At 45.1% G+C, this 21,752-nt stretch overlaps 3 protein-coding genes across 7 annotated transcripts, besides 6 other annotated features; all 3 read right to left on the bottom strand.

The window, feature by feature from the left end:
* Positions 1–5,792: 5,792 nt before the first annotated feature.
* Positions 5,793–16,400, bottom strand: BMI1 (BMI1 proto-oncogene, polycomb ring finger). 5 transcript variants are annotated; one of them, NM_001428311.1, is made up of 11 exons: positions 11,771–11,875; positions 11,423–11,478; positions 10,938–11,068; positions 10,513–10,609; positions 9,849–9,904; positions 9,707–9,757; positions 9,441–9,549; positions 9,320–9,365; positions 8,801–8,899; positions 8,371–8,451; positions 5,793–8,286 (listed from the first exon to the last, which is right to left on the bottom strand). In NM_001428311.1, the coding sequence occupies exons 3-11, from the start codon at positions 11,047–11,049 to the stop codon at positions 7,957–7,959; spliced, it is 981 nt and encodes a 326-aa protein (NP_001415240.1). In that variant the 5' UTR covers positions 11,050–11,068; positions 11,423–11,478; positions 11,771–11,875; the 3' UTR covers positions 5,793–7,956. The 5 variants fall into 5 exon arrangements, with proteins under 5 accessions (NP_001415240.1, NP_001415238.1, NP_001415239.1 ...); NM_001428309.1 differs by lacking the exons at positions 11,423–11,478; positions 11,771–11,875 and adding an exon at positions 15,329–15,543; NM_001428310.1 differs by lacking the exon at positions 11,423–11,478 and having other exon boundaries at positions 11,777–11,875.
* COMMD3-BMI1 (COMMD3-BMI1 readthrough) lies at positions 6,015–21,111 on the bottom strand. The gene is made up of 14 exons (NM_001204062.2): positions 20,943–21,111; positions 19,504–19,615; positions 19,331–19,394; positions 19,193–19,227; positions 18,481–18,540; positions 10,938–11,068; positions 10,513–10,609; positions 9,849–9,904; positions 9,707–9,757; positions 9,441–9,549; positions 9,320–9,365; positions 8,801–8,899; positions 8,371–8,451; positions 6,015–8,286 (listed from the first exon to the last, which is right to left on the bottom strand). The coding sequence occupies exons 1-14, from the start codon at positions 21,079–21,081 to the stop codon at positions 7,957–7,959; spliced, it is 1,410 nt and encodes a 469-aa protein (NP_001190991.1). The 5' UTR covers positions 21,082–21,111; the 3' UTR covers positions 6,015–7,956.
* Positions 11,583–11,962: a silencer, noted in NCBI's record as "silent region_2208". NCBI's record gives its function as "represses an Ori minimal core promoter by ATAC-STARR-seq in GM12878 lymphoblastoid cells {active_cell/tissue: GM12878}" and the evidence as "EXISTENCE:reporter gene assay evidence [ECO:0000049][PMID:35858748]".
* Positions 16,036–16,235: a silencer, noted in NCBI's record as "silent region_2207". NCBI's record gives its function as "represses an Ori minimal core promoter by ATAC-STARR-seq in GM12878 lymphoblastoid cells {active_cell/tissue: GM12878}" and the evidence as "EXISTENCE:reporter gene assay evidence [ECO:0000049][PMID:35858748]".
* Positions 16,426–16,595: a silencer, noted in NCBI's record as "silent region_2206". NCBI's record gives its function as "represses an Ori minimal core promoter by ATAC-STARR-seq in GM12878 lymphoblastoid cells {active_cell/tissue: GM12878}" and the evidence as "EXISTENCE:reporter gene assay evidence [ECO:0000049][PMID:35858748]".
* Positions 16,656–16,915: a silencer, noted in NCBI's record as "silent region_2205". NCBI's record gives its function as "represses an Ori minimal core promoter by ATAC-STARR-seq in GM12878 lymphoblastoid cells {active_cell/tissue: GM12878}" and the evidence as "EXISTENCE:reporter gene assay evidence [ECO:0000049][PMID:35858748]".
* On the bottom strand, positions 17,193–21,111 carry COMMD3 (COMM domain containing 3). The gene is made up of 8 exons (NM_012071.4): positions 20,943–21,111; positions 19,504–19,615; positions 19,331–19,394; positions 19,193–19,227; positions 18,786–18,846; positions 18,637–18,693; positions 18,481–18,540; positions 17,193–17,560 (listed from the first exon to the last, which is right to left on the bottom strand). The coding sequence occupies exons 1-8, from the start codon at positions 21,079–21,081 to the stop codon at positions 17,501–17,503; spliced, it is 588 nt and encodes a 195-aa protein (NP_036203.1). The 5' UTR covers positions 21,082–21,111; the 3' UTR covers positions 17,193–17,500.
* Positions 20,564–20,863: an enhancer, noted in NCBI's record as "active region_3129". NCBI's record gives its function as "activates an Ori minimal core promoter by ATAC-STARR-seq in GM12878 lymphoblastoid cells {active_cell/tissue: GM12878}" and the evidence as "EXISTENCE:reporter gene assay evidence [ECO:0000049][PMID:35858748]".
* Positions 21,134–21,253: a silencer, noted in NCBI's record as "silent region_2204". NCBI's record gives its function as "represses an Ori minimal core promoter by ATAC-STARR-seq in GM12878 lymphoblastoid cells {active_cell/tissue: GM12878}" and the evidence as "EXISTENCE:reporter gene assay evidence [ECO:0000049][PMID:35858748]".

The following is a 21,752-nucleotide window of genomic DNA, read 5'->3' as shown; positions in this document are numbered from 1 at the left end:
GAGTTATCCTAGTAGCTAAATAAAAGACTTAGCTAGATACTCTAAGGACTTTTCTTCAATAAAACCTGCTTAAAACATTAACAAGAGTTCTCTTGTTAAAAAAAGTTAAATTGGTGTTCTAGAGCCACAGAAAAAGTAGATCCTCAAGGGTTAATACCAGTCGTTTTCTTTATGTTTCAAACCACGCAGTCCACACTGCCAAGGGTTGATGCGGATCATCCAATGAAATGGAAAAAAAAGTGTTCCATCCACTGATAAATAACTAGTATCCAGATGCAACAGTTAAGTCAACGCAAATGGTTACATTCTGGATTTCATGCAAAATATTCATGGTAGGCGAAGAAGAAAGATAGCAGCGGGTGCTTGTGCCTGTGGCTCTAACCCAGAGGAAAGCCACTGTTACCAAGCGCAGACGCAACCATGAGCTCTTCTTTGTGTCGATGTTATTAGAAAGGGAGTGGGCGTTTGACTTCTTTCTTTGGCACCACCCTTATTTCTGATGTCAAGAAAAGCTTTCTAATTGGCCACTGAAAAAGAATTGCTGATCAACTCCGCGAAGAGGGCACCTGGGGCTGAGACTCAGCGACGCGCCCGGATTTGGGGGCTCAGGTGCCCGCTGCTCGCGGCGCGCGCCGCCCTGTGCGCTCCCAGCCGCTCCTATTGTCTGCGGTGGGGGCAGGGCCCAGCCGGGGGCGCTGGCTTTTGAGCAGAGCTGAGGATTTTGGAGACTGAGGACTGGAGGTGGGGGCGGGAGATGTCACCGAAGGCAACCCCCAGGGTTTCAAATGCTCGAGCCCGAGGTGTAGGAGGAGGCAGAGGTACCAGCGGCTGCGGCGGCGGCCCTGGCTGCAAATCGCCGTCGTGTGGTTGCTACTGGCAACCGAGCCTCTGCCGAGCGCGCAGCCCCGCAGCCCCTGGAACGAAGGTGGCAAGGGAAGCGGCTGCCGCGGCGCGGCCGCGCCGGCTTGGCAGCCCACAGGGCTCTCGCTCCCGCCCGCGTCCCGCAGTCCCTCCGGGCCTTGACTGCAGCTGTGCGGCAAAGACGGCCGAAGGGCTCTCAGGTTGGGGGCTTCGCTGTCTCGGAAGCGTCAAGTGACTGGCGGCCTCCGCGAAGGCAACATGGCAGCTCGGGCTCCAAGAATGGGATCCCTGCGGTCGCCTGCGGGGCGGGGGTGGCGGGCTCCAGTTTCTAGGCCGGGAGTGAGCCCTGCCCGCGCCCCCGACTCCCAGCTAGGTCGAGCCAAGGGAGCCGCGCGCGCTGCCTCGCCTCGCCTTCGGCCCTCGGCCCTTTGTTCTCCACTGGGCGGGCGCCTCACGCTTCGGGGGCTTTTCATGAAAACCTCGAAGCCTCGGCCACCCGAGGTGGTGACACCGGCCCTGCTAGCACTCAACAGAAATGACTGGCATTCCCCGTCCCCGGTGGGGACCGGGCAGAGCAGGAGGCGCTAGGGCGGGATTCCAACCGACCCTCCCCGCGGAGCCCTCTCGTCGGGTAGGCTCCTTCCCGCCAGGCCTAAGCTCGCCGTTTCCCCTCCTCACCTCGCAGAGGGGTGAGGCGGGAGACCGGGGAACGGACACGCGGGGCCAAAAGACAGTGCCCGTCACCCTCACCACCCCAAGGAAATGAGATTCTCCCCGAGAGGGAGAGGAAAGCTGCTGGCTCAGAGAGTCGTCCTAGTCTCGAAAAATCGGGGTGTCAAGCGTGCTTTAGGTCTGCGCTGGATTCCACCAGGCTTTGGCGCGGGCAGAAGCCGCGGGGAAGGCGCCTCGCAGAAAGTACCCCCGGCCCTCCCCGGGTCTCGGGCCGCGGGGGCTGCACCACCCGAGGGACGAGCCGCGCCCCGGAGCCGTCCACCCGGAGCGCCGAGGGGGGTCGACGGCCGCGGAGGAGGAAGGCCAGGGGGAAATTTGCATTTCGTAAAACCGCGGTTAAGAAATGACGATGCCACGTAGACAAGCCAGTTGTGACGTTCAGCACAACGTGCTACTGAACTACCGAGATCCGCCACCAAATGGCGGCTCCGGCAGCCTGCTGCACTGATAAAGAGGACTCGCCCGCCGTCGCCCATTTTAGGCCGCTTTCACTTCTCCGCTGTTTCCCCAGTCCCTTTTCCCAAGTCGTCCCTTCCTCTCCTGGTTTTAGGGCGCACGGGGAGCTCCCATGTCCGAGAAGCTTCTGTGTTCTGGGGATCCGGCAGGCGCAGGCTCTGCAGGAAGCCGCCGCGTCCCGGCAGCTTTCGGAGGCGATGTCCCAGCCTCGGCCCACCCGCTCCTCTGCCCGGCCGGGGGCGCCGGCACTCCCAGGGTCGCCTTGTCCGGGGACCCATTTTGGCGTCGACTTCGCGTCCCGAGACGCGAGCCTTTGCCCAGATCTTGAGATTCCCGCCGCGCAGCCACCCCTCCTCAGCCCTGTCACCCAGTCAAGGCTCTTTCCCAGGGGATTCGAGCGCGTTCTATTAAACGAGCCCAGCGGGAGGACCCTCTCCTCTAGGCCTTTCCAGTCACAGACATGAAGTCGCCTTCGGGAACCTTCAGGGTGGCCACTTTATAACTTAATAATTTTATTTAAAATCATCCAACAAAACCTCAAACTCCAAGGACACCTCGTTCATTAAGGAGAAAGGGCATTGATTGGACTCGAAGAGGGAGGAGGACAAAGAAAGGCGATTATCCGGCCTGGCTCCTAGCAGGGCGCGCTCCCGTGGGCTCTGCCCGCGAAGCCGCTGCCTCCCCGGGTGCAGGTCGTTTTCCCGCCCGCGCTGAACTCGGGGTACAGGGACACGTCGCTGCGCCTCGGCCTGCCGCTGTGGAGGGCTTCGGCGGGAAAAGGGAGCACCTCGGGAGGCAGCGAGCACCCGGCTGTCGCCGCCGCTCGCCACGGGGTCCAACTTTGGAGAGCGGCGTCGTTCCCCCGCCCCTCAAGCCCCTCAGGGCCTGACAATCTCGCGTTCAAATTTGGCGGGATCCGAGTCCGCAGAGCCGAGGGCGGCGCGAGGCGAGCAGCGCACGCGCAAAATGGCCTCCCGGTGCCCCGCGGCCTTGGCTCGCGCGCCCAGCAGGGCCGAACTGGGGTGGCGCAGTTTTGAGCAGGGGACTGGGCTGTAGCTGTTTCCACTCCTCTGTAAGATGCTAATTAGAAAATAAGGAAAAGGAGAGAGGCTGTTTCTTCTTTAAGGTGTCTTTTGGTAAAGGACCCCCTTACCAGAGAGGCAGCGTTGGTAAGGGGGCCTTTACCAAAGGAGAAGTCAGGTGATTTCCCCCAGGCCGGTGTACTGTGCCCTTTCCACCGGGCACTAGAACCTAAGAAACCTGTTTTTTGGAAAGCAGTGGAGTTTCCCACCCCAATCACCCTCGCCCGGGCGTTATGCTCCACGCCGTGCGGTGCGCCCCGCTCTCCGGCTTAGTTGGAAGATCTTCCGCTCCTGAGGACTTCGGACCTGTGACTTGGGCTTTTGGACCTACTTCTCCACCTGCACTAACCTCGGTGTCGGTCTCGGCCACCATCCCATTCCTGGCATCCCACTTTCCGACGCGCTTCCCTATCACCTGGGTCTGCAGCCTCCCAAGTCTCTTATCTCAACTTGAGTTCTGGCTAATTGAGGACAGAGTTGGACATCTCCAAATCCGCACCAACGTTGAAATCACGTCCACGGTGAAGTTTGCATTCCATGATGACCTGACAATCAGAGCAAGAAGTAGCATTTTACTGAAATGTAGGGAACAACACCTGCTATTTATGAAAGTGACTTCGGATAGTCCCGGAAGGGACATTTTTAAAGGCTAGGGGCTGAAGAATGAGAGTAGTTCTAACTCCTTTGTTGGAAGTTTTTATTGAGCGCTTACTATTTATTTGGAGGGCTAAAGCGACTTCCGAATGAGTTTTCCACTTGAACTTCTCCAGAACTCTTCTCACAAGAGTGCTACAGCGGAGTCTTTCCAGTGATAAATATAACATGACTTCTGATGTCGTCGACTTGATGAAGACAGAGTTGATAGTGAAGTTCTTCATGTGAGACCTCTAGAAATTGCACACTAAGAAAAAGAAACTGGTGCAAATAAAGGAAATCCGTTTCAAGAACCAAAAGAAGAAAAAAACGTTAAAAAAAATTAACTGCGGAAACAGGAAACACTCAACTGTGTAAACATTTTCGAAGACTTTCATAATCAAAACTGGGCGATCTTGAGATTTGCAGGGAGATCGGCTGGCTCAAGGTCTTCGCGGTGGGTATTTGCAAATCTGATTCTCTGCAAGGCTGGAATATATGGATATCTCCTTCTATTCCTTGTAAAGAACTCGGCTCCTCGCTTTGAAGTTTGTGGTCCTAATTTAGTTCAAGGGCTTTTTTTTGAGGAGTCAATTTTTTTAGAGCAACCTTAGAAATTATCACCTGTGTTTGTGTTCATTTTGTACATGAAGAAACATCCTAAAGTGAAATCATGTATCTCAAGAGCTTTAAGTTGGAGCTGGGTTCAGTGATCTTTGCACCAAATTAGTGTCTTAGAGGCATAGACGGTTTTTGAAAGGTTTTAATTAGTATACTGTTAGATGCAGCACAGATCTAAAATGATGTCTAGTCGTTTTTCATGTAATTTGATCAAGACCTTTTTGTTTTGGATAAAATGCAATGAAGACTGTGTGGGGAAAACAGCCAAAGTATTTTAAAAATCTTATGGGGCCTCCATTCTGACTAAGTACTAAACTAAATCAGAATTTCCAACTATCATTCTTCGTGTATTAGGAAGAAAAAGATCTAAATCATTTATCAAACCTTTAAAATACAAAGAGAAATGGAAAAATTAACAATTGCTTCACCCCAGGATTTTAAGAGACTGGATTCCATGTGTAGATTGTTTCTAAAAGTAAATCCTATCCCCTCAAAAGATACCATAAAATAAACTATTTTAAAATACCAAACGTCCTCCTTTCGTGTTGGTCAATGCAAGGCGCATTTCACATGGGTATTTAAGTTCCTATTGTTTTCATAACAAAACCTTAATAGGCCCATACAATGAGTGTAACAAGACTTCACAAATTAACTGCACCTTCAAAATATTCGGAAAAGAGGAAAGGATGAAGGAAAGTTCCTACCAGCTTACTCTGCCTGTTGCATTTTCCCTCCAGAGGTCCAAATATTATCACGTATGGATATGGAAATAGCAATATGGTTGGAAGGTTGAGACAACTGAAGGGCAGTTGTTTTTTCAATGCAGTGCAATTAACGGCCGGCAATTTTAAAAGCAAAAAGTACTTGTAAAATGGTATGCATGTGTAAAGCAAGATAGATCACTATTTACACAACAGCAACCAGCCTCATTTTTCTCTTTGCATTTAAGCTAAAAATCTGTAAAATCAATTTAGGCATTTTCTCTGAAATATTTTGTTAGCACTAACTTTGTGTTCTAGAATATTTTCAGAAGCAAAAGTCAAACTTAAAGCTGACTTTTCCTGTACCCTGCTTTGACTACTAAAAGTTACAAAGTTAGCAGCTTTTGATATGGGTTTTCATAAGGTTGAAAATTTCTAACATGGTAATTTAGCAAAGGTTTTTAATCTCAATTGTCAAACTGTAATAGCTGCTTATTTAAGAATACAAAACATTATAATCTTTCATTAACAGAAAAAATTTTGGCTGAAATATGCTTTTAAGCTTATGCCATTTTCTAATTGAGGAGGAAAAAAAATCATTTTTCAAATAAATGGAAACATTTTCACATATGGTTAGTGCTAAGTAAGCCATAACTGCAGTATCTGATTAATAAGCAATTTCAAAAATAAATTCATCATAAAGAGATTGAGATGTAAAATTTGAATTCCATGTTGATAACTTGGTTTTATGTAAGTCAAATGACAGTCCACTAGCATTTAAAGTTTTTAGCCTTTTAAAAATATTTTTTCATTCTTTATACAAATGATCATCCAAGGTAAAAATATCACTTGACACTTCCATTAACTTTTCTTTGTCTTAAACATCATGAAAAACTTAAGCCTAGAAAATGAGTTAAATTCACCAAAATTGGCAAACATTGGTAACTTTTACTTCAAAGACTGTAAATAAACAGATACATCTTTCAATGGGCTTTCAAGCAATTTTACAACAAAGCATGTACTTCTTAGCCACATCACTATAAGTCAGCAATGTATTCTCTTTAACGTTTACCTGTTGTAATCCTCTATAGGTTTTCCATAACTTCTGCACATTGTGCTTTTCATATCAAATTTTTATTAAAGATCTTAGCTATTTTCTAAATGAATATCCTTTTTATTGGATTTTTTCCAATTACAAATGAAATTTCATTTTACATCTATAATTAGAAACAACACTTACAATGGGACTGTACAAATTTAGGTCAAAATAAAAATATATGTATCTTGTGACTTCATAAAACATCCTTTACTATATTTTTAAAGAAAGCAGAAGTAACAGCAATATATGTAAAAGTAATGATTTAATGACTATAAGCAAGACAAAGCAATAGAATTGTGCTTCTTTTGCAGACTGGGGACAATGAAATGTTTAGCTACAATTTTCCCATACAAACATGAAACAATATTCATATAGAATAAACACCCTCACAAATAACTGATGGGTGATGAACACACACCAAGTTCGACCAAAGCAAAAAATAAACTGAAAATTGTTGGGTGGGGTTATTCATATTTTAAATTCAACATGCTTGCTCTATTTAAAAATACCTGTAGAAGCTCATAATAAATAGCTTCTATTTTCAGACATAGCAGAGAAGGCATATTCCATTGTTAACTGTAAAAGCAACTCTTAAATTTAAAATTACTGCTATACCACCTATTAAAATAACTTTAGATAAAATGCCTTCTTTTAGCAACCTGCTGGTTTATTTAAAAAATTGTTTTAGAATTATAGTGATCAATATGCATTTTTAAAATACAATATTAATTCCATCATAGCCAATGGAAAATTAAGACGGTTTCCATATTTCTCAGTTAAAGGTTTTTCTTCACTGCAACAATCTTTAAAGTAAACATGTATTACTGGAGAAAAGTATATAAAGTATAGAAAGATGTGCCAATTGCTTCTAATGGAACAGACTTTAGAATTAGATATCCACATTAAAAATATTCTTTGCTGGTAAGCAAGGCTCAACATAGGTTATGGGTATCTGCAAAGGTCGAACCAGTTGGGAGAATTTTAACAATCATTTCTGAATGCATGAAACACAATATTTCTTTATAGCATTTATAAATATATCATACAATACTGTTTCCTGTTATGTCATATACCAATATGGCATTGTACAACAAGCATAATGCCATCTGATTCTTACAAAAGCGAATCATTTAAACAAGTCAGTAAAATAAACGGTAGTACCCGCTTTTAGGCATACAGATTGTAAAACTGAAGTTCACTTTTCTTTGATCGGTTTTGCGTAGCAACAGAGAAGTATAAATCAAACAGGAATCAAAATGGCTAAATATGCAAGAAATCGTTATTCACAGTGACATGGCTACATAGAATGCATTATTCTATGCATATTCTTTCCGTTGGTTGAATTTCAAGATAAAAAGCACTTGTTTTCTACAGGTTCACAAAACAGCGTAATAACAAGAACGATCAAGGAGAATGTAATGTAGGCGTTAGTTGAGATTAACAAACTATGGCCCAATGCTTATGTCCACTGCAGAGTACTTCCAAATCCAAACAATGGTTACAGAAACCATTTCCCATCTTTCCTAACACAGAGAAAAAGTCTTGCCTGCTTTCCAAGAAACCAATTCTTTATAACAACAATCTTTCTTTTCAATTAACGTCCATAGGAGTATCACATGTAGTCCATCTTTTATAGCCAAATTTAATGTCACTACAAAAGAAAGCAAATTGGACGATAGTCACATGTATTAGCATCTAGAAAGCTGTAATGGCATGAAGATATCTATATAAATCAGGGGTTTAAAATTTTTTTCCTTAACAGTCTCAGGTATCAACCAGAAGAAGTTGCTGATGACCCATTTACTGATGATTTTCGAGGTCTATTGGCAAAAGAAGATTGGTGGTTACCGCTGGGGCTGTTGCTGGTTCCATTCATAGTACTGGAAATGTGAGGAAACTGTGGATGAGGAGACTGCACTGGAGTACTGGGGCTAGGCAAACAAGAAGAGGTGGAGGGAATACCTCCTGCTGGGCTGTTGGCCTTGTCACTCCCAGAGTCACTTTCCAGTTCTCCAGCATTTGTCAGTCCATCTCTCTGGTGACTGATCTTCATTCTTTTACAAGTAGGTCGAACTCTGTATTTCAATGGAAGTGGACCATTCTACAAAGTTAAAAGGAAAAAAATTACTCTTAATTCTTTAAATATAGTTTACCATCATAATCTAACAACAGATATGCTACTTACCCTTCTCCAGGTATAAATGTAGGCAATATCCATTAGTGTATAATAATCCTTTAAAGGTTCCTCCTCATACATGACATCAATCTAGTGAAAAATATTTTTATTAAGTAATAAAAGAACAAAGGTAAATGTACATTTTTTGTCATTTAAATATAATCCAAAAGTGCTTTAAGAAACATATTCTCCAAACATTTTAACAAAGAAAGACTCCTGAAACTTCAAATGAGAAAAAATTATTTCTAGAGAGTGTTAAGGGATTTGTTTTCATAGCATAAAAGAGAATGTATACCAAATGTTTTAAGATAAATTTCAACTTTAGCACTAACTTCACATTTTTTTTCTATTGCTTTTTTGGGTTCAAAATCCAAAGTGAAAAATGTAATTAAAATTGTAAAATCTATGTAAAATGCAAGAAGAATATAAAAGTAGATACCTGGAAAGTATTAGGTATGTCCATTTTACTTCTGAGAAACTTTCTTAAGTGCATCACAGTCATTGCTGCTGGGCATCGTAAGTATCTTTTATCATTCACCTAAAAGTACATTTAGAAAAGTAACTTTTTCAGTTACTTTAAGATATGAAGAAAGTTTCAATTTGATTGCTTGAATATAAAAGATACTAGTATCAAACAAAATTGGAGGTGACCAACCTCTCAACTAATTACACTCTGAGTTTACTATCATTACAAATACTAAATGAACAGATTCCTAATATAATCTTCAAGCATACCAAAGTATTAACTGTGAACTACTTAAAATATTTTGTAAGACTAACAATCATATATAAAATAAATTCTAATTATTAAATATCACATGTAGACCTTTCTTAAACATTAAACATGACCATTTTCTTCTATTTAACAGCCTAATATTCTAAAGGGCAACACAATCCCTGATAAAATCTGGATTCCAAACAATGTTTCTTCTATATGTTTTTGTAACATGAAACATACCTCCTCCTTAGATTTCTCTTTGTCTTTGTTTACTTTCCGATCCAATCTAATAAAGAGAAAATTTATTAGTGAAACAATCTAATAAAACATTAGCATAAAATAAATTGCCTAAAGATTTTACCTGTTCTGGTCAAAGAATTCAATGGATAAGCTTATTATCTCATCATCAGTTATAATTCTCTTATCTTCATCTGCAACCTCTCCTCTATCTTCATTAGAGCCATTGGCAGCTATAACGATATAGTGAAATGTAATTTTTAAAAATCAGATGCCTAATAAATTTTATATATAAGAGGATGGAAGTGGTAAAGTCAATTTTAATACATTTTAATTCCTAGATAAGCTCTCCCCCCATATAAAATGTCTTCCCTCCCCTAAAAGGTTTACCATCAGCAGAAGGATGAGCTGCATAAAAATCCCTTCTTCTCTTCATTTCATCTGAATGGGGAAAAAAGATGTAAACATTTGGCATAACACAAAGAACTAATGAATAATCTCTTTAAATTCATTTTCTAAGCAAGTTACTCACTTTTGAAAAGCCCTGGAACTAATTTGTATACAATATCTTGGAGAGTTTTATCTGACCTGAAAAATAATTAAAATAGAAAACTATGAATTCAGATGGCAAGAACTAAAAATGTTCATAAGTTTCTATAGTCTTCTTTTGTGCTATAATATTTTACTTGATTGTGATGCTGTCTATAACTATTATTGATAAGATAAAAACTATGAGAATAAAAGTTCTCTGTATATAGCACTTTTTAAATCAGTAGAAAAATATTTTATATTCACTAATAAATTCTTCACATTTGCTCTGTCAAAAGAAGTGTGCCTTTCAAGTTACTAAACTAGCTAATATGAATAGGGAATAAAGAGGAATGGAAGCCCTTTTAAATATTTATTCCTGCCTGTCATGAAGTCCATAAAGCAATGCAAAAAAGGTGAACTAACTCAGTTTTTAAAGGACAGTTAGGAAAAAAAAATCTTAAAATCACTTGAATACTACTAAACTTTGTCTAAACTTGGTCACCATTAATATGGCAAGAAATTAAACGGCTACCCTCCACAAAGCACACACATATTAGTTATGTATTCAAGAGTAAATTTTCTGTGAAGAAATAAAGAGGGTTGCCTTCAGTAAATTATACAACTCCAATAATAATTACAAACAAGGAATTTCAACAGTTTCCTACCTTATATTCAGTAGTGGTCTGGTCTTGTGAACTTGGACATCACAAATAGGACAATACTTGCTGGTCTCCAGGTAACGAACAATACACGTTTTACAGACTAGAAGTAGAACATGTGAAGTTTTTTTATGTTTAGAAATGAGTGGATAAATCATTGGTGTTAGAAACCCAGAACTAGTAGAAAACAAGATGGTGAAAGGCATTTCCAACTAAATAAGCTAATTCATATCCTGAGAACACATATATTGCATGCTTGTAATACAATCAATACATATTAACAAAAAGTCATTAGATGCAAGAGAAGAAAATGCCTTCACCACTTTGTACCAACATTTCCACAGATTGCAGGAATCATTAACAGTTTTCAAATTCCAGGTCGAACTGTGAAATACGCATGATACAAAAGAGAGCTAAAGCTCGGTACTTACAGGAATGTAGACATTCTATTATGGTTGTGGCATCAATGAAGTACCCTCCACAAAGCACACACATCAGGTGGGGATTTAGCTCAGTGATCTTGATTCTCGTTGTTCGATGCATTTCTGCTTGATAAAAAATCCTGCAAGACACAGAAATAATGGCCATAATTCACAGAACAAGAATGGAGATCATCTAGTAATCACAAACCCTGAAACACTGAATTTATAAAACTCATTTAACACTGTACAGCTGGGCTGTCCTAACGTTTCTACAGAAGGAATTTACTCATCAGATCGGAATCAGTTCTACCAAACTGATGCAAAAGGATCCAACTAACATTACTTCTGGTCTCTCAGATCATTCCTGTAGGTAGAAGAAAGTCTGGGGTGGGGGCTGGGAGCTGAGCGTATTAGGGTCTCTTTCTTCCATTTGTCCTCCAGCCCAGCAGCCCCAAGGCTGCTGCAGACGCCACACAATCCCCGCGGATATTTACCAACCACTAGGGCTTGTTCCAGGTCTCCGAATTTATTATAAAACTTCCTCAAGAATCTGCAAGTGAAAATCCGGGGTTCCGGTTGTTTTAGACGGTTCCAGCAAGCAGAACCTGGCACGTTTTTACGCGACGCGCAGGGAAAACAATTCTGCCCTCCCTGCATCCCTGGCATTTCCGGAGCCGGGTGCTGGGGCCGCAGGAGGAGCACCTCCAGTCGGCCTGGGCCGGGGCCTGAGCGCGGCGGACGCCCGGGGGCCGGGATGCGAGGGGCGGATCCGGCGGCGCCCGGGGCTCCGTCTCGCTCCGGATTCGGAACTCGCCTCGGTCGGGGTTTCCATAGCAACTTACACTTACACTTGGCATCCGGCCACCGCTGCAACTCCGCGCGGAGCCCGGCCCGAGCCCCGAGCCTCGGCGGGCGTGCGGGGCGGCGGGCGGGCGGGCGGGCGGGGGAGGGGCGGCGCGCCGCGGGGGCGGGGCCGGCGCGGGGGCGGGGTGGGTGCGGCGACGCCGGGGGGGCGGGGCAGCCCCACGAGGCCACAGCGCTGGGGAGCGGGGAGCGGGGATCGGGGACCAGGGACCCAGTCCTGGGCGGCGGGGACCCCGGAGCCTGCGGCAGCGCCCGCGAAAGGAAAATGCAAACCGCACTCCCGGCCATTTCGGACACTCCGGGGGCCTCTTTTCACGTCGACTTGGTGCGCAGAGCTGGTTTCAGATCTCGACTCTCTCGGTCTGTCCTGTCTGCAATCACTCGGTCAGAAATTTCACGAAGGGATTTTTTGAGAATTGCCAACTGTGCACTTAGCCCGAAACCGTCAGGGCTCAAATTGCAGAGATGTTTATTGAACCGAACCTCTTTAAAACTTCCTTCTCTAATGTGACGCTCTCCTGTAGATTAAATGAGCGATACAAAGTTTTGGAAAGGCTGAAAACTGAAATCTGTTTTACAAGAAGAGGAGAGGGCAAAGCCCAGTGTTTTATTTGGACAAACTATGCTGGGGGCAAGAAAAAGTACTTTAATCGGTACAATAGTGACAATATGTACAGAACCATGTGACCAGCCCATTTCCAACGCTAAATCAACAGCTTGTCAACCCAAAGCAGCGACAGGAGAGAAAAACAAATGTAAAACCCCCCATACGATGAAATGATATTCCCAACAGATACCTCTATTACAGGAAAGTCACAATGGGGAACTGTCAGCAACAATACACCAGCCGACAGTCAGGGAAGTCAAATACTTCGTGTAGTATTCTTGAAAAATAAACTTCAACCCCCCTTCTTCATTCATTTCAGAACCTGATATAAGACTAAGCTTCCAGACCTCACTGAAGTACATTCTCAAATCTTCCTTGAATGGAAATCCAGGACCTTTTGAAACTTGCAGTAAGATATACCTGCGGTTTTAATTCCTAAGGTGTATTAATGCAGTAAAGGGAAACACCAATCAACACAGCTCAATGGCTGAAATTAAGAGCTAACCTCTAGAAAATGGTAAAAAACAAAACAAAGCCTCTCTTATGAAAGTGACCACAGTGGCAACTGGCGACCTCTACCAGAAAACTTCTTGTGTGACTGACTCCTCAGTTATCTCTGGATTACTTGTTTTGGAGAATATTGTCAACATATTAACATAAATCTAAGCGGGGCACGGAGGAGTTGTAGGTAGAGCAATGACCCTAAAGAGTAGCAATATTTAAATCAAATTATACTTGGTAAATTAAAGAACAGCCTTCTTGGTGCTTAAAGAAAATTCTCCTTGTGAAACCACAGGATCTTTCCTAGAAAGATAGCAAGCTGATATTTCTGTTTGCCTGTGAAAGCATACTGCACTAAAAAACCACCGATCACGAAGTTCATGAAGGGGCTCCAATAAAAATAGCTGCCTTTATTTCTCCTCTAGCTTGCAGAAAACCAACACCACACAAAGACAAGTATTAACAAGGAGAACAATCAAACCTCAGTGGAGGGTTATCTACCGGTTGGCTTTGAGCATTTAAGTCACATGTACTTGACCAAAAGTCTTTCAAATTCATCTTAAGTCTTAATTCACACAATTCCTCTACCTCAGTTCAGAAGAATTTGGCCACAATCCTGTGACCATTTATAATGCTAATAAATACCACTGTTACTTATATAAAAATCAGTTATGTTTTTATGCCCTTTGAAAGTAGTGGCAACCTAATGAAGACTTCCAAAGTGTTTGACGTGCTTGATAAGATTTGAGAAACAATCTCTTCCACCTCAGAAGTGAAAACCTTCCAGGTTCCAACCCAGAAACTGCCAGTTAAGCAAACAAAAATGCACCAAACATATCATGGTAAAAATACTCAACCGTTAAAACTTGCCATTGTAACACACTCAGTTGGGGCTGTCAGTTTTTAGGTGGAGGCCTAACACCAGGAATGTCAAAATGAAGGAAAACAGAAGCAAGTTCTTATGTTAACCATCAGCTTGCCTACTGCAATCTAAGAAATGCAAATGAACTCCATAGCCCCAGTTGGGGTTCACAGCCCAACATAAGCATGGGTAAAGTTGGGGTTAATTTGACTCCTGGGGAGAAAGCCTATCTGCACACTTAACATACATCCAAGAAGTTAGTGATAGAGTATTAATGGATTTATCATGTACAATTAAATGCTTAATTTTCTTACAAAAGCTTTATGTGTATACATGCATACAAAGTGACTTGTATATGGCTTTAAAGATATTTTACTAGGCATAAGACTCACACAAGTAGGTTATTTCAAACACTTCTGACTACACTTTGGGGTAGATGTATGGAATTAACTCAAATCTAAAAACTTATAATTTTGTTTATAAAATCAATCCCAGGGATTTCTGATCGGTCTACTTAAAACTCAAATGTTAACATATAGAGTCTCATAACTTGTTATATACTGTCAATAATTTGCATCCTTAAATATCAACTGTTTAGTGTAGCTTATAATGTGTTTCCAGAACATGGGAGTTAAGGTTCCTATAAAATATAGGTTGAACTACTCATAACGTTGTACACACCACCAACCTACACTTGCATTTGGATAAATATGCTCGGAATTTTGCCCACATTAAGGGAAGGGGTTAATACATGCTTCTCTTTCATATATTGAACCGTGACCACTAAGCCCACTAAATCCTTTTATTGCAAGTGGTAATGATCAAAGTCTCTCTACTTGTTTACTTCCAATTATTAACTGTAAATCTCTGGGAAAAAGATCATGCCATATCACTGTCAAGCCCAAGTGACTGCGTAAACATATGCAATCAACTTTTTAGTGCTCTTTTCTAAAGCATCCCTTTGCCAAATGACCTATGCTGACATTTAGCAAAACCTGTAAAAGATAGTGGACTGGAGTCATGATGCTGAGTGCATCCTTTAGTAGAAGTCGAGAGAAAAGTTGCAGTCTCCAAAAGGGGAAAAAAGAAAAAGGAGAAAAAGAAGTAGTGAGAAAGCAAGCCTCCAGCAAAGCTAACGTCCAGTCACCATCTTCACTCCACAAAAAGCTCCAAATTTGAAATGCCCACTTCCCAGGGAGCACCTCCCAAGCGATGTTCAGAGCACTTATCCAAGACTCCCAACACACACCACCTTGAAAACTTCAGCATTTTAAACACAAATGCAGGAGACCTTGGAAACAACTGGGAACCGCCATCTTACCAGCCATCCAATCTCAGACAAGTGTCCCCCCAACTTAAGTTAATAACATTTTCGTCGGGGCTCTCTCCAGCCTAACACCCACCTTGGCGGGATGGCCGCCCCCCACGCAACCCGTCCCTATAAAATGGGGGCGTTCTCTGGCTGCTGGAGCCCCTCCAGAGCCCTTTCTTCGGGAGAGGAGGGAAGCCACTTGACCCAAGCAGCTCCCGATTTCAGGAACCCGTCCCCGTTTCATCCAAATCTACCTCTCAACAAAGGGCGCTGCGGCCGGGAGAGCCGCCGAGGCTGGAAATACCAGTACTCCTCTCGGGGGCCATGTGCGTCGCGAGGGTGCGGAGGGGCGCCCGGGGGAGCGGGGAACTAAAACGTGGGGCCGCGCGCGGCGCGCCGGGGCTGAGCGGGCGGCGGCGGCTGGAGCGGCGCCGAGCCCTGCTGGCGGCGGCGGCGCGGCGCGGGCTGCGGGTCGGTCCCGGCGCCGCGGGAGTCGGCGGGCGGCGGCGGGCGCGCGCTCGCGGGCGCGGGGAGGGCGGCGCGCGGGGCCGGCAGGCGCGGGGCGGGCGGCGCGGGGCGCGGGGCCGGGCGCCCACGCTGTCAGCGCCCTCCCGGCGGCGCGGCCGGGGCGCGGGGGGGGCTCCCCTTCCACCCGCGGCCGCCCCGAGCCCCGCGCGGCCCCCGCCGGCCCCCAGCCCCGTCCCGGGGGCGCCTCGCCTCCTACGTACCCGGAAAGAGCAGCCGGCGCGAGGCGATCGAAGCGGGCGGAAAAGACAATGAAAGTTAAAAGTCGTTCAGCAGAAAATGAATGCGAGCCAAGCGGCCATCTTGAAGCGAGCTGCAGACGCCGCTGTCAATGGGCAACCAGCGCGGCCCCGAGCAGCCGCGGCCGCCACGCTCGTCTCATGCCGCCTCCGGCCGGCCTCCTCCTGCTCCGGCGCCTCGGCCTCCTCCGGCGCCTCGGCCTCCTCCTCCTCCGCCTCCGCCTCGACCTCCAACGCCTCCTCCTCCGGGGCCTCCTCCTCCTCCTCCTCGGCCGCCGCCGCCTCCTCCCGCTCCGCACTCGGGGGAGGGCGCGCGCGGAGGGGGCGCGATCGGTTTTATTCTGCGGGGCTGGGAGGTGCTGCTAAGCCGGAACGGGGCTCCCGCGCCCACATCCCCATTGTCTCGCCCCGATCTCTGCCTCTCATACTACGATTATTTCATAGTTGCTGTGGGGGAGGCGGGCGGGCGGGGGGCGCCGTGTGTGTGCGTGCGAGCGGGGGGAGGGGAGGAGGGGGAGGGGAGGGTGGAAAAAAATGCACCGCTGAAGGCAGAGTGGAAACTGACACCGGCTCCAAAATGGCTCGGAGTCCGCCCGCCCCCTCCCCCCGCCGCCCCCCCAGCGGGTCACGTGCTCCCCTCATTCCTTAAGGGCGGCCTGGGAATTAGTGTCGGTGTAGTCAGGCCCGTGGCCGCCCCCTCCCCTCCGCGCCGCGCGCCCGGCCCCCTCCCTCGCTCCGCGCCGCGGCGGCGGAGACATTTCTCCACAGCGCCACACGCGCCGCCCTGCTCCGCGCGGCCGCCGCTCCGGCCCCGCACGCCGCGCAGCCCACCCCGCCCCCCGTTCTTTCTTTCTCCCGGCCGCCCGCCTCCTCCCGGGGCGCATACGTCCCGCGGCCGCCGCCCCCCGGCCGGCCCCGCGGGCTGCGGCCCAGGCTCCGGCGCCGCGGCGCGGAACCTGCGCCCAAGTTGGGCTCGCGGAAACAACAGCGCCCGCCCCTGCCCGCCAGCCCGCGGCCGCGCCGGCCTCTTCCCCGCCCGCGGGCGGCCGAGGCGGGGCGCGCGCGGGCGACGGCTGGCTCCGGGCAGGGGCTCCGCGCCGGGCCGGGACCGGGCGGCCGAGGGTCGGGCTGTGGGCGAGCCCTCGGGCGCAGGTAACGGGCCGGGCAGCCGCCCGCGCCCGCCCCCGGAGCCCCGAAGCAGGGGTCTGCGACAAACCCAGGAGATCGCATCGTTTCCTCCGTGTTTAACTTTAATCCTGAGAAAAGGCTATCGTTAAAAGTTCACACTACTCCTATCTAGCTTCACACAAAGTAATAACACACGAACTCAGATCCAAACAAAATATCATCACTCTTTGTGGAAAACAACACCTTATTTATTCAGGGTGTAATACTGTCTACTTCCTTTCAGAAGACTTGAAAAAGATCAAAATAGGATAAATGGACAGTTACTACTAAACGATTCAAATACTTGGGCAGTATCTTTCCCTCTTAACCCTTTCACACGTTTTTAAAGTGTCAAAATTGATGAATGGTATAAATTCAAAAGGAAAATTCTTTTCTACTGAAAAGGACATCCAGCTCGCACAAACGGTGGTTCAGCTGAAGGCAAGGCGTTTCTGGTTTTCCTCTGCACTCGGGCGGATCGTTAACTTCCCCAAGTTACAACTGAGTTGCTCTTTCCAGGCTTTTCGAAGCATCTTTAAGTTTCCCCACCAAGTCCTAAAAGACGTGTATACAATACCACGTTTTTAGGATAAAACATGGAAAGAAGTATCCAAGCTCAAGAAAGATGCAAGAAAAAAAATCAGGACACACCTTCCAAACAAGTTTAAAATTCAACAAGATTTTAACTTTTGACAAACTACTATCGGGCAAAAAAAGCGTTTCCTCGGAAATACCTCATGTTCAAATCGGTTATTTGCCCTCACACTGAAACATGATTTCTAACCGGATCCTTAACCGCCCAGATACATCTGAATTTTCTCAAGTTATCTAACAAAGGTTATGCTGTATACACATTTTCTGAAAGTTGAAAGTTTGATTCATAGTTACATTAAAACGACTCTGCAGAAGATGCCTTTGAAAAATTCAATTTCACTTAAATTTCCAGTAATGAGCTTCATTTTTTAAAAACTATGAAATAAATTCGTTGTCATATCCACTAATAAATGTAGTTTTGAATTTTCCCAGTCTTAAATGGGCAATATAAACAGTTTTAGAATGTTATGTATACTTCCCCCTTTATAAAGTCATTTAAAAAGTTTCAAAATCCAATTTTGACAGTTTAATTCAATTTCTGAAAGCAAAGACATTTTCAAAGCCATGCTCTTAATTTTGTTTATCTTATTGGACCAAACTCATCATGAATAGAAGAAATTTACACTAAACACTACAGAAGTTTATTTCAATCAGCAAGAACAGCAAATACAGACCAATTCTCTATTAATAACATCTTAATTTCAAGTGAAGCCTATCTTAAAATACTACTTTTGATGCCCCTTTCCCATTAAATCCTTAACCAATCTTCATTATCTGCTGACAAATGGTTAGATTAATTTTCTTTTGAACTTCCCAAGAGTATAACTCTCAAGTAAACATTTATAAAAAGACAGGAATATTTATAGATCCTAATACTGTACCTGTAATTGTTCCATGCTGCAACTAAAACTAATCTCTGGATAGGATGGGGAATCAGTGTTCTAGGGCAGGAAAAAAAACACGCAACAAGAAACGCTGTTTATTTAAATCAATGAAATTATAAATTTCATTATTGGATAAGACTTATCTATAAATACCTGTACACTTAAGGTCACCAAATATGCAGGTCTGTACATCCTATGAAGTTGATTGGTCTAAAATAACACAACAAACACGCAACAGCTTTTAACTCTAGGTTTTAAGAAGTTCCCTAAATCCCCCGCTAGAGAAGTTTCTTAAACTTTACCTTTATCTGATATTCCAAGCGCCAAGAAACATCCGTTATATGAGGGAGAGATCTGCCTATACTGAAAGATGCAATGATAACTTCGTACATAGTCTCCTCAGAAGAACTTTTCAGTTATTTATATTTACTAAGAATGGCTCTACTTTCCACCCCCAACTCCATTTTAATCCATTCTGAATTTAAACCATTGTTAAACTTTATTTTTAAATTATGAATGGTAAAGGAGCATTTCAAAATCATCTCAATAAACGATCTTTAAAAACATGAGCTTAACTTCAATTGCTTGACATGCCCTTTGGCTCCTTTTCTTTGGGTCAAGATCCCGAAGATCTTGTTTCACACCAACACTCTCCATTCATACCTGCAAGTGAAAAGTGCCTCAGCTTGACACCTTATACAGTACCTACCTTCCCAGTAGGATTTCTAGGGAATTCTTATTATTCTGGAGAGAAAAAAGAAAGCAAGAAAGAAAGAAAAAAAAACATCTTTACAAACAAAGTAAAAGAAAAATAGTACTGTTAATTAAAAATTTTAAAGTAAGTAACCTGATATTCCGTGCAAAACAGTTCTATTCGCTCTCTGTCAAATTTACAGTCTTCTAGATAAGTGCTAGAAGAAAGAAAAAAAAAGCCAAAGTTCTGTCTCCATTTTTAAAACTGAAATTGAAATCATTAAGGTAGTATTTGAAAATAAATGGATATTTAAATAAATCCTGTACCTTAGAGTTGACTTGTCAGCTCGGTGCTTTCCTGCCTCTAGTATGTAAGTTGCAGCTGCTGCATGACAATGTTTTAAAACCACTGGGTCGATATGTTTCAAGTCTGGATGATCTAAAATAAATTAACTTCCAGTGATGCCTATGATAATAAATTCTTTACAGTCATGTTCCAAAAAGGATATTTTAATTTGGGTTTAAAAACCCTTTAACAAGATTAAAAACATCAACTATAAGGACAGTCAATTATAAGTAAATGAGATGAGCAACAAGATCAAGTGAAAAACAATAAAAAGAACACAACAAGAACTCTACTATTACTAGCTTCAATTAACTTATTTTGCCTTAATATTTTTACTATTAAAAAATATTATAGCCCCCAAAGAAAATATAACAATGCAATGGTCATTCTAACACTGGAGTAAATTCAAAGGAAAAACAAGATAAATATTTTACATTGTGTCAATTTTAGAATAAACTTCCATCCTAAAAATGATGAGTTTAGGGTAACCGGCTCCATGAACAAATACATCAAGGGGGTAGAAGGTAGGGCATGAGTTCAGAATATAAGATACAAATTTCAAAATTATATTAGTACTTTCAGGGTTTGACAGTCATTTTTTTTTTGAGATTAACCCAGGTGGTGGTTACTATTTTCGTTTAAGAACTTCCACTTTCATACTTTTTGTACAAGTGTTTAGTTCATGAAACTACAGAAAAAAAACAAAAATTTGAATTGTTGGGATATTTATATTTAAGAAAATCATCTAAAAGCGATCGGTCTTAAAATATGTCTTCAATCCATACTGACACTGCACCTCCGCAGTCACTGACCGGATCGCTTAAAAGACACTCGCATCCTGGTAACTGGGGCGGAACAAAGTATTGTGCATCATAGTTTAAGGTTCTAGGCGTAGAACCTGTGTAAACATGCTGAACTAGAGCGCTGGAGTGATCATAGCAACTTGAGGTATGCTCTAAGTTGGCAAATGTCAACACTGTCTGACCTAGTAATTACTTCGGAAACAGACCCTTAAACCTTTGCTAGCCTAGCCCTGGAAGCTTGAATTGCAGGGAGCTCCCCAGATGAAGTCCAACTGTCAAAACAGCCGCAGCCTCAGACAAGGCTAAACACCTTAGATGTTTAGGCCACAAACAAGACTTGAACACCGGCTTTACAAAAGAACAAAGAGACTGGGAGGGAAACCGGGCCAGGAACGTGGAGTTGGCTCTATGCAGGTGCCAAGTGGGGCCAAAACAATGCTCAGAGTCTGCTCCGAGTCCTGGCAGAGCCACGTCCCCAACACTCCGTCCGGAGCGAAGGGCAAAGCCCGGAGACTTCCTCTTCCCGGGGCTTTCCCCTTCTCGCTCCGCCGGCTCCTCTTCTCCGAGCGCCCCTCCACCCCGGCGGATCCAGCTCCGAGCCGAGCCGAGCGGCTTACCTAACACGGCCTCGTCCGCCTGGGCGTCCAGCAGACTCTGGAATGCCGCCCGGAGGAGAAGCGTGAAGGCGTTGGAGTCGAAGGAGCGGGGATCCGCCAGCATCTGGAAGCCTTTCTGCACAGACTCCGAGAGCTCCATTGTGAGCGCGCCGTGACCTTCGACACGCACACCACGTGACACGCGCCGCGCGCTCAGCTGATGCGGCCGCGCGCGCACGCGGCTCGGGGCGGCTGGCGGCGGCGCGGGCTGCGGGGCCTCCCCGCCCGCCTCCGCGCCCGCGCGCGGGTCCCGCGCCCCCAGCCGCCGCCTACGGCCTCCCACCGTTTCCGTCCAGCTCTCGCTTGTCCAGCGCAGGCCGCGGGAGCTGCCGAGCCTTGGCGAGAAGGGCGGCCTCGGGCGTTTTGTGGACGCGCTCGGCGCTTTCTCCTTGGTTCGGCGCTTACCTCGGACGGCCACCAGCTCGGTTCCCTGAGAGACCCCGGGGAGACTGCGGACGGTGTCGGGATCCCGGCCCCCGCCTCCCGCAAACGGCGTCCTCCCCGCTCCTCGCTCTGCGCGAATCCTGCGGGAAGCTCCGATCTCAGGCAACTGGATTTTGCTTTTGTGGTTTTTTGTTTGTTTTGTTTGTTTTTTAGCTCACCAGCTTAACCTCGCAGCACTGCCCTTTTATGAGACTGTAAGACATCTAATTATGTGATTCTTGCTTATTTTTACTTTTTTTTTTTTGTCATTTCTGGAATACGGCAGTAGTGTCCTTCCTGCATGGGGGGTGTGTACACATGCACGCATACATAGAGTTCCTGTATGCA

Source organism: Homo sapiens, chromosome 10, assembly GCF_000001405.40.
Source record: "Homo sapiens chromosome 10, GRCh38.p14 Primary Assembly".
Classification (NCBI taxonomy): Eukaryota; Metazoa; Chordata; class Mammalia; order Primates; family Hominidae; genus Homo; species Homo sapiens.
The sequence above is the reverse complement of the archived record's forward strand: the minus strand, read 5'-3'. Positions and strand labels throughout refer to the sequence as shown.

Coding starts and splice junctions, on each gene's coding strand:
- COMMD3 (NM_012071.4), bottom strand. CDS start 21,081: ATGGAGCTCTCGGAGTCTGTGCAGAAAGGCTTCCAGATGCTGGCGGAT. Junction 19,616..20,942: donor GGCGGACGAGGCCGTGTTAG/GTAAGCCGCTCG, acceptor AATTTATTTTAG/ATCATCCAGACTTGAAACAT. Junction 19,228..19,330: donor TGTTTTGCACGGAATATCAG/GTTACTTACTTT, acceptor TTTTCTCTCCAG/AATAATAAGAATTCCCTAGA.
- COMMD3-BMI1 (NM_001204062.2), bottom strand. CDS start 21,081: ATGGAGCTCTCGGAGTCTGTGCAGAAAGGCTTCCAGATGCTGGCGGAT. Junction 10,610..10,937: donor AATAGAATGTCTACATTCCT/GTAAGTACCGAG, acceptor TTCTACTTCTAG/TCTGTAAAACGTGTATTGTT. Junction 9,905..10,512: donor AGACCACTACTGAATATAAG/GTAGGAAACTGT, acceptor ATTATTTTTCAG/GTCAGATAAAACTCTCCAAG.
- BMI1 (NM_005180.9), bottom strand. CDS start 11,049: ATGCATCGAACAACGAGAATCAAGATCACTGAGCTAAATCCCCACCTG. Junction 10,610..10,937: donor AATAGAATGTCTACATTCCT/GTAAGTACCGAG, acceptor TTCTACTTCTAG/TCTGTAAAACGTGTATTGTT. Junction 8,452..8,800: donor ACATACCTAATACTTTCCAG/GTATCTACTTTT, acceptor ATTTTTCACTAG/ATTGATGTCATGTATGAGGA.